General features: G+C 32.5%; 1 protein-coding gene across 20 annotated transcripts in view; it reads right to left on the minus strand.

The window, feature by feature from the left end:
* TBC1D32 (TBC1 domain family member 32) overlaps positions 1–14110 on the minus strand; it is a 255236-nt gene that overhangs the window by 28751 nt on the left and 212375 nt on the right. For 13 of the 20 annotated variants that reach the window (XM_047418311.1, NM_001367759.1, XM_011535570.2 and 10 more), the window contains 3 exons: positions 6928–6997; positions 4818–4933; positions 4261–4415 (listed from right to left, as the gene is read on the minus strand). In XM_047418311.1, the coding sequence (XP_047274267.1) occupies positions 4261–4415; positions 4818–4933; positions 6928–6997 (341 nt within the window). Of the gene's footprint in view, positions 1–4260; positions 4416–4817; positions 4934–6927; positions 7504–9613; positions 13037–14110 lie in introns of those variants that run through there. The other 7 variants (XM_047418317.1, XM_017010402.3, XM_047418314.1 and 4 more) reach the window with 3 other exon arrangements.

The raw sequence follows: 14110 nt of genomic DNA on the forward strand, positions 1-14110 counted from the left end.
AGCTCTAAGTCACATGAATATAATACGAGGTCTTCTGAATCATCAAATGATAAATTGTTTATTATACTTATAGAGTTTTGATGTAATTTGTTTATCACTCTCTGAAAGGACAGTAACTCTCTGTCCTGTTTACCACTCTCTGAAAAGACAGTCACCACTCTCTGAAAGGACAGTAACTCTTTATCATTCAGAATATTGGATTAATGGAACACATGCAGGACAACAGCATTTAGCATCATCTAATTAATAGTCTAATATATAAACTACGCTAAGACAAAGTGCAAAAAAATTGTCAATAAAGACATTGGCTTTGAGATCCTAGAAAGTGACATAACATGAAGCAAGGACTTTACAACAAAACACTCTTCAGAATACTGTATATTACTTTAGTGATTAATAATAAAAGATTTATGCTTAAAAAAAAACATAACAGTCTTAGTTTTTTTTCTTCCATTATAGATCTTTTGGGGAGTCATTTTATTCCTGATATTAAGAAAAAAACTAGTTCTACTTTGCTATGAAAATTAAATAGAAAGACCCCATTAGAAAGATTTGAAACTCTCCAATTCAAATGGATTCAGTCTAGTCTGGTCCAGTCTAGTCCTCCATCTTTCAGACTTTGTGGGCTAAGGATGTGCCACGCTTTACAGCAATGTTGTAGTTAACTTGTGCATCATGCATAGAGGTAAACAAAAAATTTTGCAGATTTTTTAAAACTTTGATTCTATAATTCTAGATAATATCAATCTTTCTCCTCTCAGAAAAAAATGGGAAAACTGAATCGGCAAATATGATTAAGACTTATAGTCACATATAAGAAAGGGAAGGGGTTTTACACTAGACATCTTTCCTACAAGTGATTGGTCACATGGCTTACATTTGTTGATGTTCTACAAAGGGGTAACAAGTATGTCATGCCATTCTAATAACTGTAAAATTTAAATGTAAATTTATACTTGAATACAATTAGAATTTTTAAATCCACGAACTTTCTGAACTAGGTAATTGTTATTTTAAGAAGAGTAAGGGAAGGCTTCTGTAGTGATTACCCTACATTATAACTATTGCATGAATTTCCTGTTGAACTATATTACTTCATTTGAGCATTACTTTAGCCTGATTTATCATAAGTGGAGTTTTGTTTGTATGTGCATGTAAAATACTCTGGTTTTTATTTCAGTTTAATTAGATTTCCTTTTTCATATGCTTTTACAGAGAAAGGAAATTTATGATCACTACTTTAATTTATTCTTTGAAATTAGATATTTCTACTATGAAAATAATTTCCTGATTTTTTAAAATATATCATTTTATTAATGGCTTCAATGTTAACAACTGGCCAAACTCTGATTCTTGATCAAACTCCATAAAGAATAACTATTTCAACATTTACAAAGTTTTTTTCTTAGTAGCAAAGAATAATTGAAGATAATTTAATTAAATCAATACATTAAAGGGTTCTTCCGGTGTAAATGATTTCAAAGGATAATTTTTCAAACTATTTTTATCTCATATGAGTAATATAGTCATAGTTTATAAAATTTTAAGAACTTCAAATTAATTTTTCATTACTTCCTGTTTTGCTTATCCTAAGCTTATTTTTTTTTAAACCTTTTTAAGGTCATTTGTTTACAACATTCTTATGAATGCAGGGGATCTAATATCTTTCAAATACATTTTCTAGAGTAATAAAAGCTTACAGATCCTTACATATTTCTATTAAAATATTAATTTATGTGGCTCATGCCTGTAATCCCAGCACTTTGGGAGGCCGAGGCTGGCAGAGCACGAAGTCAGGAGATCGAGACCATCCTGGCTAACACGGTGAAACCTGGTCTCTACTAAAAATACAAAACATTATCTGGGCGTGGTGGCAGGCACCTGTAGTCCCAGCTACTCGGGAGGCTGAGGCAGGAGAATGGCGTGAACCCAGGAGGCGGAGCTTGCAGTGTGCCGAGATCATGCCACTGCAGTCCAGGCTGGGCGACAGAGTGAGACTCTGTCTCAAAAAAAAAAAAATTTTATATATATATATAAAAATATATAAATTTACACACTCAACATACATTTATTGAGTGATTACTATGGGCCTATAGTTTGGGACACATCTATGAACAAAACAGAAAACTGTTTTCAAAGGACTTTCATTAAGTGTACAGATAGATAAATAAATATTAGGACTTGATATAGGCTATAAAAAAGGTAAAAAAATAGGACAGGGTAATGAGGTTGGGGTAAGTAGAATTGAGGAAATAGGTTGATTTCTTTTGAGGTTGATTACAATAATGTGAGGCTGAGCTAAAGAAGGTAGACAAGTTTGTACTATCAACAGCTATAGCCAATGTGTCTGTCACCATGCTGCAGATTTGTTCATATTATCAAATTGCATAGAAACCATCACCACAATGTTTGAGACAATGGAACAAATGAAATAGAAAAGGTATCACTTTTAAATAATATATTAAGACTTACTGAATGTACTATCAAGTCAAGTGACATAGGGGAAATAGCAATTCAAAAGATTGTTAGTCAAAAACATTTATACTGTCGTATAAATGTAAGATATTAGTAGCAGCACTTAGCTAACAGTTCTAGATAGAATTCCTGTCGAGGAATCTTAACAGCATGTCATCTGTTTTACAAAGAAGCATCAAAACAAACTACTGGTAATAAAACATTCAACTTGATGTATTTGTAATTGAAAAGAAAAAATGATGCTATGGAAGGCACTGCATTAAGTCTTCACTGACAGTGTAGCTGCATCAGTAGAAAGGTGTCAAGGCTTTACATCAAGAGATCATTCCGAAAACCCCGAGCCAGTAATGTGTCACTCCCTTCCATTCATATATTCCATATTCAATGATGCTATCAAAATGGTAAGTCAAATAAAATTCAAGCTGCTGGAGTCCTGCTTGTTTTCAGTTTTATAGAAAGAAATGCTATCAGAACACAAGATCATTGATGTTATGAAAAAAAGTACGATTTTATAGGCTCAAAGTATAAATGCAACTTTACAAAATTATGGTTCAATATGATTCACTGGTGATGTTTAGATGGTGTCATAATCTGAACACTAAAGGCAGAACTGTTAAGACTAGTGGAATGTAGACATTACTTTAAAATATTTCACAGAAGAATGAATGATTGGACACAAAATCCATACCCATTATCAAAAGATTTTCAACATTACATTTGAAAGTGAAAAAGAGAAAAGGCTGTTAGATTTTTTAAAATCTTCAAGTACAGTTTAAAGGAATAGAATTACTCAAATTCTGGTTAACAGCAGGAAAATAGTTCTACTGATTGCAGAAAAACTAGTGCATGCTTTTTTTGCCATTAGTTTCTCTGTGTTCATGGGAGGAAAATTTCTCATTATGGTGAAGAACAAGAATTGGATGATCTTTTTAAGTAACTGTATATAGCTACTTGAAGCATAACATTATAAAATTTTAATATTTATTGTATTCCATGATGAATTGATTTTATTTTCCTTATCACAAATATATATTGTAAAAAACACCTAATGAATATTTTCATCTCCACATAGATACTTGCCAATCTCCTTAGTTTATCCTTGACTGTCATGTGATTTCACTGTCCAAATGCAACATGTCATGGAAAAGGTTTGAGAAACATTAGCATAGCTGATATTTTTGGCAGTTTCCCCTAGTTGGAAATCTTAACAGCAAGCAATAAACAAATAAATAAAATAAACATAAACATTATAAATTGATTGAAGGATATACTTACCTCTAAAGTAACCTCTGAGATTGCATAAGACTAGTAAAATCTTTTAAAATACATTACGATACTTTAATAAACACTCAGTATAGATTTACAAAATGTATATAATTTTCTATAGAAAATAGTTACAATATCTTCCTAATAAATGATTTTCTTATACCATAATCAGCCAGAGATTCTTTTTAACCAAGCAACAATACAAAACACAAGTCAATAGTTCTCTTTTTAGGTGCAGAATTTAACTGATATAACTATCATTTTAATTTCATTATCATGTTTCTACTTCATGAAAATGCTTCTAATATAAATCATTCAGTTACTATTAGGTAAGACACCAAGTATTTGAGAAAATATCAAATCTATATAATCAAAGAGAATTAGTCAAAAAACATTCAAGTAGAAAAATGAGTATAATTTATTACAAAGTCCTTCACAAATAAAATTATGCCCCAGTGAATGTAAGTATAATGTTCTTAAAATTTCAAACCCTCCTTTAAAAACAGATTGAAGTCTTACAGAAATATGTAGCCTTGGCAACCAAAGAAAAGCAGAAGTCAGAAGCCTGGAGAATTGATGAAGAAATTGGAATGTTTTTTCTTTGTCTCCCAACATTATCATGAACAGAGAAGATACAAACCAGTCATGGCCAGCATAATTCCCTTGCAGGCAGACTGAAAAACACAGTTAAGAAAACTTTACAATATTTTGTAAGATAAAATATTAAAATTCTGTAAATAAAATAAAATGAATATATTAAATAAAAAGCAGACATTCTTATTCTGAATTTATGAAACTTAGTTTTTAAATATTCTTAGACATGTCTGAAAATACATTCTAATGTCTTTATTCAGTTTAAGATTCAATGAATGAGACTAAATATAATGATTACAACTCAATTTAACAAAATTCATATTTAAAATACAGAATAAAATACTGTAAGAATATATCATAACAAATCACTAATATAGCTTAAAGTACTACTTTACTATAAATGTGTCAAGGTATATCATCAAAGAATCATGAAAAATATGTGAAAAAAATTAAGCTATTGTGAATATACTCAAAAAGGATATGAAGAGAAGATTTTATGGAAGTTTGCTGCTGTTTCAGGAATCTCTCACAATGCTTTAAAACCCAGGTAAGATCATTTTCTGCACCATCTTTTAAGAGACTGAGGAATTTGCCATACCTATATTAAAAGCCCACAAAACATAAAACATATCAGGTCTTGCATTGAATGTTTTAAAATTACTTCTTTTAGCATAACTATGTTATACAGAGCACTTATGAAAGATTAGCTCTCAATACATGTTTCTGATGATTATGATATATTTGGATTAACAGTATTCATCTGGCAAATACTGATAACTTTAAAGGAAGATGAAACAGTAATGAGAGAACAACATGATGATATCCTGTAGATGAAACGTATAATATAAGCATTTTTTCCTGAACTTAATCTAAAACATGGAATGTTGACAGGTTAGTTTTACAAAATGTTGAGTCTAGAAGTACCTTTAGAGTTCAAACAGTCTAATGGTCCTAAATGGAGGTGGTACTTCCCTCAGGGGCCACTCTGGAAATGTGTAGGACTATTTTTGATTGTCATAGTGACTAGGGGGCACTACTGGTACTTAATGAGCAAGGGCCAGGTGATTAGACATGGGACAGTCCTGAACAGCAACTTGCAAATGTCCTATTTGTTACTGGTATGGATGAAAAAGTTGTTTATAATTGTCTGAAACTAATTCTGTCTTACAAAAACTTCTGTACTTTTTAGTATACATACAATGCAACTATGTATAAATCAAGCAAAGGTAGTGCTTTTGTAATTTTTCTTTTGTACTTCTGTACTTTTGAAACCTTACTAATAATTGTTCACCATTTTTTAAAAAGTCTCTTTTTAAAGAGACTTGGTGGCTCACACCCGTAATCCCAGAACTTTGGGAGGCCGAGGTGGGTGGATCATGAGGTCAGGAGTTTGAGACCAGCCTGACCAACATGGTGAAAACCCATCTCTGCTAAAAATACAAAAATTAGCTGGGCATGGTGGCATGCACCTGTAATCCCAGCTACTCAGCAGCCTGAGGCAGGAGAATCACCTGAACCTGGGAGGCAGAGGCTGCAGTGAGCCGAGATCGTGCCACTGCACTCCAGCCTGGGTGACAGAGCGAGATTCCATCACACACACACACACAAAATCTCTTTGCTCGTGGCCACACTGTAGTATTTGAGGCATGAAAAGAAAAATCCGTCTGTATTTGTAGCTGCTGGAGTCAAAATTATTTTACACTTGGATGCCAGCTATATCTTATACTGTAATATATTCAAACATTTCATAATAACTTTGCTTATTTCTTACAAATAAGATATTATATTGAGTTAAAAAATAGGTGACTAGCCTGCTTATATTATCTACGAAGTCCATTTCAGAATAGCAATAGGGCATTATAAAATATTTGTACAAAAAGCAGGCACAACATCACAAAACATAATTAAGAGAATCATATGCCCTATGTGATACAGGCATGTAAGTTCAAATTATTAAAAAAATCACTTTCATCATGCTGTGAATTTATAAAAATACCCAGCTTTTTAAACAAATCTTACACGTATCTTTTTAAAATTTGATTCTGAAGATGACCCTATAAGTAAAATGGGAATGTTAAAATCCCCATTTAATAAGCAAGAAAGGGAAGTTTCAAGGTTTCAGTCCTTAACTCTCTGTTCACTGTTTAGCTTACCTGTTTCTTTTCAAAATTACAACTTGAGTATTAAAAATTCAAACTGCAATAAGTTTTTTAATTTTAACTTCTGCATCTGTCCTTCAGGTACTTTTGTACTCATCACCATGGAATTAATCATATTCTAGAAAATAGTATGACTGTGTTACCAACGTGCTGACTTTTACAATGTTATTTTTGTAAAAAACCTGATAGTCATGAGGGCTTAAACACACTGTAATTGGCCTCTGGAATAACAATGAACTGTAACTGATTTACCTAGAGAGGTAATTTAATCATGTGCCAATATCCTCAAAAACAAAGTCATTTTCCGAATGATAAACTCTGCATTTAAAGTATACAAAATAGTTGGTTGTTAAATTAAATACTACTGAGCACATATGAGGCAGATAAAACAAATTCTAGAAATGCACAAGGGAGCTATTTCCCTATAATATACCTGACAGTCATTTTAATGCCAAGCTGCTGCACAGATGAAAGACTTTCATTCTTCACATTTGCATCAGTAGCTAAAGACAACAGAAAACTGAGTTATAAAGTGCAGAAAAGTTTGCATAATAATCACATTTTAATTGAAAATTGATGAAAGCAATATTTTTACATATTTTAATGTGAATTTTGAAAACACTGATGAATTTATTCTTTTAGGAACTGTCAGTTACATTTTCAAAGGAATTAACAGAAAACTTTTTACAAATAACTTTTTCCCATAAAAAGCATTGGAAAACATATTAAATACATAACAATAGTAGTTTTAAAACAATCTATTTTACTTGGCTCTCAGAATAAAAAGAGCCATTGACCCAAAAAGTGGTCTAGAAATACTACTTTCATCATGCAATGCATACATAAAACTCTGAATTACAAATATATACAAGAATGGTTATTTCGTTCCTGATACTAATCTTTAAGTAATCAGTGTTCCACTTTTAATGTATGGTAACGTATGAGGGTAGAATGAATGAATTTCTTCCTGCAGGCCAAGTTTTCTTTGCGAAGTAGTTGTTGTAATCATCTAACCAAAAGTGAAGAAAGGGTTAGTTATATTTTATACTGTAATATATCCAAACATTTCATAATGAATCACTTTTCATTTATTTCTTACAAATAAGATAGTGATTAGCTTGCTTATATTATCTACAAAGTCCATTTCAGAATAGAAATAGCATAGTACAGAGGACTGCAGGTGAGGCTGAAAGTCTGGATTAGTTCTTGAGAACAGTAGAGGACCAAACTAACAGTGAACCCTCAAAGGCACAACTAAATAGCATTCAGGGTCTAGCTGAAACTTTCAATTTCTGGCTGAGAAAACTGTAGCATGCATACATACACACAAACACATGAACACACAGTGCATGCACACACAATTAAGAGACTCATCACATAGTTATCTAGTGGTAGAGAAGACCAAAACCTAGGTTTTCAGAATATCATGAAGTTTTTTTTTTTTTTCCTTCATTACACATTGGTGTTTCTCATACTATCAGTATAATCTATTTCACTTCCAGGCTCATTCATCCCCTTAGTAAATCATCTCTGATATAGTAAGTATGGAACACCATGCAAGAAGCTATGAGGGATAAAAGATAAATCATACCCTAAAAACCTGTCCAAGTAGTGTCAGAGATCAAATGTATATAGATAACTCTGATAAAGGTATTTTAAAGCCCTATATGAAATAGGAATGATACAGATAAAGTGTTACATGAATTCAGAAGATGAAAAGATTATGTCTAGCTAGGAAGAAGTGGTATTTAAGTTGAACCTTAACATATAGATCTGTGTGCCTATAGTAATACTAATGTTTTTTCTCTTCTGGAAAGTATGATATAGATAGATATCTTACTGGTAAAGGATGAGTGTGCAGTGGGTGGAGAAAGGTGTTAAGAATGGGCATTCCCATCATGATGTGTTCCACAGACCACAGTGGATTCTATCAGGAAACACTGACCTAGCACATCAGTGAAGAATGTAATAAAGTTATGCAGCAAGGTGAGAGGAGTTGTCCAAAGGAATTGGATGTGTTAAATAGTTCTTCCCTGTGAAAGAAAAGAGTTCTTACATAGTGGTCTAGTTGTGAGGCCTGAGATGAGTCCTTTCACTTTCCTAGAGTTGTACAAATAATTTCCAAAGTCTAGACCCTCTCTAAAACTTTATGACAGTGTATCTTCAGAGTAAAAAATTAACTCTGAACATTTCAACAGATAATGGTTCTAAACTATGGTGGTTCATCTTCTGAGGGACTTTTTAAAACTAAAGATAAATAGACTCGACTCCAGACTACTAAATAAGATTGCCAAGAGGGAATGTCCAGTCATTTGTATTTTTAAAGGCCTCTACAGCTTATTTGTTATACAATAAAGTTGAGATTTACATTTGAAGGAATAAAAGTTAAATTTAGATAGAGTTACAATTGGACAGTTATACAACACTATCCAAATTTCACTTTAATGTAGTGTAGCAAATTCTCAAAAAAGCTTTTAAATGAGAATATATGGAGGTGTTGGCATACCAAAACAAACATCGAACATCCATTTTAAAAAATCACTGATGTGAAAGAGATGTATATAACTTTGGTATGAACAAAACTATGCAGATAAAAATATGCAAGGAATAAAAACTTCCCCAAAGCAGCAATGAAGACATCAGAAAATGGGTTAGGGGCATATATTTAAAAAGGGGCTTCAAGTCAGGCTTGGTGGCACAAGCCTGTAATCCCAGCACTTTGGGAGGCTGAGAGGGATGGATTACTTGAGGTCATGAGTTCAAGACCAGCCTCGCCAACATGGTGAAACCTGGTCTCTACTAAAAATACAAAAATTAGCCAGGCGTGGTGGCACATGTCTGTAATCCCAGATGCTTGGGAGGCTGAAGCAGAAGAATTGCCTGAACCTGGGAGACAGTGGTGGGAGTGGGCTGAGATCATGCCACTGAACTCCAGCCTGCGTGACAGAGTGAGAGTCCATCTCAAAAAAACAAAAACAAAAAAAAGAGGTTTCCATTTTAAATTTGTATTATATTTGATATACAGTATCAATATACAATAAATCACTGTATATCATTGATACACAATGATAACTTAGCAAGCAAATTTTATATTCCAAATACATCTCAGACAACAAAAGTTAGGTGGAAGAAACTTTTATTATACAAAACTCTGGACTACATTAACTTATAAAGCAGGAACTGAAATCTCAAAAATAAAATCGATGGGGAAAAATGAATAAGTAAAATTAAATAATTTTAAAAATGGACGTCTTCAGAGGATTTTGATCCATATGCATGGCTGGTAACGAGTAATTAATTGATCTAGGAAAAACAGTGTGTAGGATACATAACACATACTTAATAAACAATGAATGAATGAATGAGTAAATGAATGAACCAACATCCAATGAATAGCAACAAAAGAAATTATACTTTAAATATCAAACTAGAAGCAAGATGGAGAAGAAAACAGACATAGACTTAAAAATATTTTCTGTATATTAAAATCAAGTAACACATAGAAGAGATAGCTCCCACTCCCTGAAGTCACTGTGAAAAGAATAATGAAAAGAATAATGTATGATGCTGTACATGCTAATGACATGTATAGCATCATACTTACCCACTTACTAACAATGCTTAATTCAATCTAAGCTAGAGTTAATCATTAAATTATTCAAAATAACCAATACTTTTAACTATAAATGCAATAGTTTCAAAATAAAATGAGTTGACAAAATTTATGTCACATGAACTGATATCACTCAGTGTGGGTCATGCATTCTGTTCTGTTTTTGGTTTGCAAAGCTAGCACATACAACAGCAGTAGAAGAAATTAAATCTATTCTGCCTGGCACCTAATAGTATGGAAAAAAATAAATTTTCAGAAGAGTAAAGAATTTCTCCACTGGAGGACAAATCCATGGTTGGAGAGGCAGTTACTGGTTGGCTGCTTACTGACTCTCCTAATGCCCTCCCTTACCTGTCCTAACTTAAGAAAACTCTTACTACCCAAAGGAATCAACGGACTACATTTCTTCCTCCCTGCTTCCTTTCCCAAAGTCAGTCTGTAAGTTCTGTTGCTTCTTTTCTAATATGTAATTGTATCCATGCATTTTATTCAGTTCTTACTACCACAGAATTCAGTACCTTGTGACCAGTCTACTGTACATGTCTCAGCCTCCTAATTGATGTAGTCAGTGTAATTTGGGAAAAATAGCATTTCCATGTCTTGATTATGCAATTACCCCTGCCTGGAAGACTTTTCCCCTCTTCTCTTGCTTATTTCCATTCTAATATCCCAGGAGGCAGCACAAGTACTACGCCTGCTCTCTATTAACGCTTCCTCCTCTTATTTTCCATGATGGCACCAATTTGACACTGATGTCATTTTCTACTGGACACCTGTGGCCCTTAAAATAAAACCCTTCATTGACAATTACCAAATTCAAATAGCATATTAAAAAGCACATTGCCTGAAACCAAGTAGCCAGCTGAAAAACTGTTTCTTTTATTTTCTACCTTACTATATGCTGCAATTTGTTTAATTCCTAATTTTAGGTATATGTCCTATTTTTCCTTCCTGAGGAAAGGTTCATATTAAATATCTCTTTGCAATTATCACACACTGTGCTTTACTCACAAACGTTTCATAAATGTAAGATAGAAGAGAGCATTTTTGCTTTTCAAAGAAAATATAAAAGGTGTTTAAGAATATTTAATTAAATTTAAAACTATATTTTAATAATCAAAAGGTGAAACAAGCAAAATGTTGATTTTTTTTCTAACATTTTGATTAACTAGCATTACGAAGAGAAAAGAAATAAAAATACACATCACCCTGAAAGGGCCATTTAATTTATCATTTCAAAGAAGCAATTACACTAGAAAAAAATTCCCAACTTGTTCCAGGGAATTGAACCAACAAAAAGGAAATGTCTGTTAAGATATGGAAAGATACCTATATGAATTTACAAACTGCAAATGTGCAGAAGTTTATCTGTTTGTTCTTTCCTCTTTCTTTAAAGGGATAAACAGCCAAACTAATTTGATTTTTCCAGATTTGCAAATTTTATAATGGATTGAAATCCTGAGGGAGCTAACAACAGATGGATGATTGTGTAATTCTAATTTCAACTACCTTAGGGTTTAGAAGGCTGTCTGTCATTTCTTAAAAGATAATCAATTTCTCATTTCCAGAAACCTAAAAAAACATTGAATACATCTATCCAGTATTTGTTTTAAAACATTTTATATCAAAACAATTTTTAATTTAAAGCAAATACAGTGAAATTCTATAATAAAAAAATCATTGTTCCACCAGCCAAAAAAATACTTGATAAAGGATGAGAATACCTAAAGCCTTGGGAAGAAAACAATGTACTAGCAACAAGCTCAGTATATCAAAATAATAAATATTAAACAATCAATCAACAGAAAGTCACTTCATTTTTTGGCTTTACTATAAGACTGGTGAATAGCTTCAGCTGGAACCTTTAAGGAATTTAAATCCGCATTCAGGGTTTATCTGCCTAGCTAATACATTCAACAAAGCCGACATCTGAGATCTCACTCGGCATAATTTAGAAACATAACAGAGGGCAGTAACGCATGCACACTGAGCAATCAGTTTTGCTGAATATTTAGGTAATATATACAATATAATTTTAATTTTAGATTTTCTACAGAAAATATGGTCCAATAAAGCAATGTGAAAAAGAGAGCTATACGAATTGGAGATTATTATGCTTAAGTCTAAAGAAATGCCCACTTTGGTCATGCAAATTTCCATGACTATCACACTTCTTACTCATTTCCTATTACTTCCCAACTTAACCATTAATAGCTGTATGTTTTTCACATAAATTTTTATGTTCATTCATAAGTTCATAATTTTCTTCACAAATGCTTTCCTTTAAAATCTCTTCCCAATTTATGTTTTCTTTCCTCTATGCCTCAATTTCCTCATTTTAAATATGATGATTATGTCTAGTTCAGAGAACAGTTATAGGGTTGAATGACACAAGGTATATCAAGTGCCTCAACATAATACCTAATTTAAAAGAGGTGATCAATAGATATCAATTCCTTTCACCTACCTTAACTTTCGTTTAATAGTATCTTGTATTTTCTTCTCATTTCTTTGTTTTAATTCTCTTAAGTCTCTTTTACCCCTTTCCCAGGTTTGCATTAGATATCATTATGTGTAAATAAATATAGGGTCATCTGTATATTCACATGTATCTAATTATGTGAATTGTTAGATATTTAGAATTGTTACAGAACTATAATACGTTTCTTTGAATATAGATGTGAATATAGTATGTGTATATATATATAATTAAATCTCATATTGAAGATACAAAGGAGTTTGACACCTAATGTAACAATTTAGCCATATACAATATAATAAAACTATCAAAATGGTAGTTTAAAGTGAATGCAGTAGGAGCAGAGAAGAGAGAATCCTGCTTAGGAATAAGAGAGGTTACATTCTAGCTGAAACTTTACAGGTGAGTCGGGCATTATCATGTGGATGTCATGGAGAGGGAAGCATCCATCTAGAAGGAACAACAGGAGCAAAAATTTAGTGAGGCAAATGCGCAGAATGTGTTTGGGCAGTTAATGGTAATAAGGCTAGAAAGATATGTCTAACTTGAATAAATAACACATATTTGAATGATGGTTTCTTCAGCAAAAGAAGAAATCATATCACCCTTACAGGAAAGATGATCTGTTATCAGTAGTATATGCTAACTCTACTTTCTTCACTGTCTCTTTATTCACTGCCCCTTAAGTATTGGATATTCATCCGTGGAAAACTTCATTTCTGTACTCCATTTTTTTCCTTTACACAGTTACTATTATCGAATAATCTTTGTAAGGTACAGGTGAATCAAGTAAAGTTTCTGCTCAGAAATCTTAAATGGTTTACTCTATTGCCTATTAAATTAAGACACTAATTGACACATTTTATAAAGCCTTCCTCCATCATTCTTTTATCCATTCTTTCCTTTATTTGACAAACATTTATTGACGTTATTGTTCTAGGTGCAGAGAATGAAATGATAGGTAAAACACAAAAACAACCCTAAAGAAATTTACAGGAATGAGAAGAATTAGACACTAAGTCAGAATTTGAGAAAGAAATTACAATGAGATGTATTGGCTTTATATACCAAGCTGATGGCTTAGTAATTTGTATTTGTAGCCCACACTTTTCCTCTAAACTCGATTCACATGTCCAGAATGTATAAAGCATATTTACTTGAATGTCCAACAAGTATCTCAAACAACAAAAAAGCCAGCACCTAATCTCCCCTTCCTTTCCTATTCTTCCTCTCAATGTACAATCATTCCATCCTCCTAGTAACTCAGAAAAATAGCCTGTTGTCCTCCTTGACTTCTTTCTTTCTCTCATACCCCACATTCAATCTGTTAACCAATTCTGTTGGCCCTATCTTTAAAATATATCCAGAATCCAAAAACTTCTCACCGTCTCCATTACTGACATCCTCATCTCAGCCATTCCTGTTTTTCAATAGCCTCTTAACTCATTTCCCTGCTTCAGTCGTTTCTCTTCCTTCAGTCATTTCTCAACACCACAGCCACAATGCTCTTATAAAATGCAAATT

This window comes from Homo sapiens, chromosome 6 (assembly GCF_000001405.40).
Source record: "Homo sapiens chromosome 6, GRCh38.p14 Primary Assembly".
In the NCBI taxonomy this organism is placed as follows: domain Eukaryota; kingdom Metazoa; phylum Chordata; class Mammalia; order Primates; family Hominidae; genus Homo; species Homo sapiens.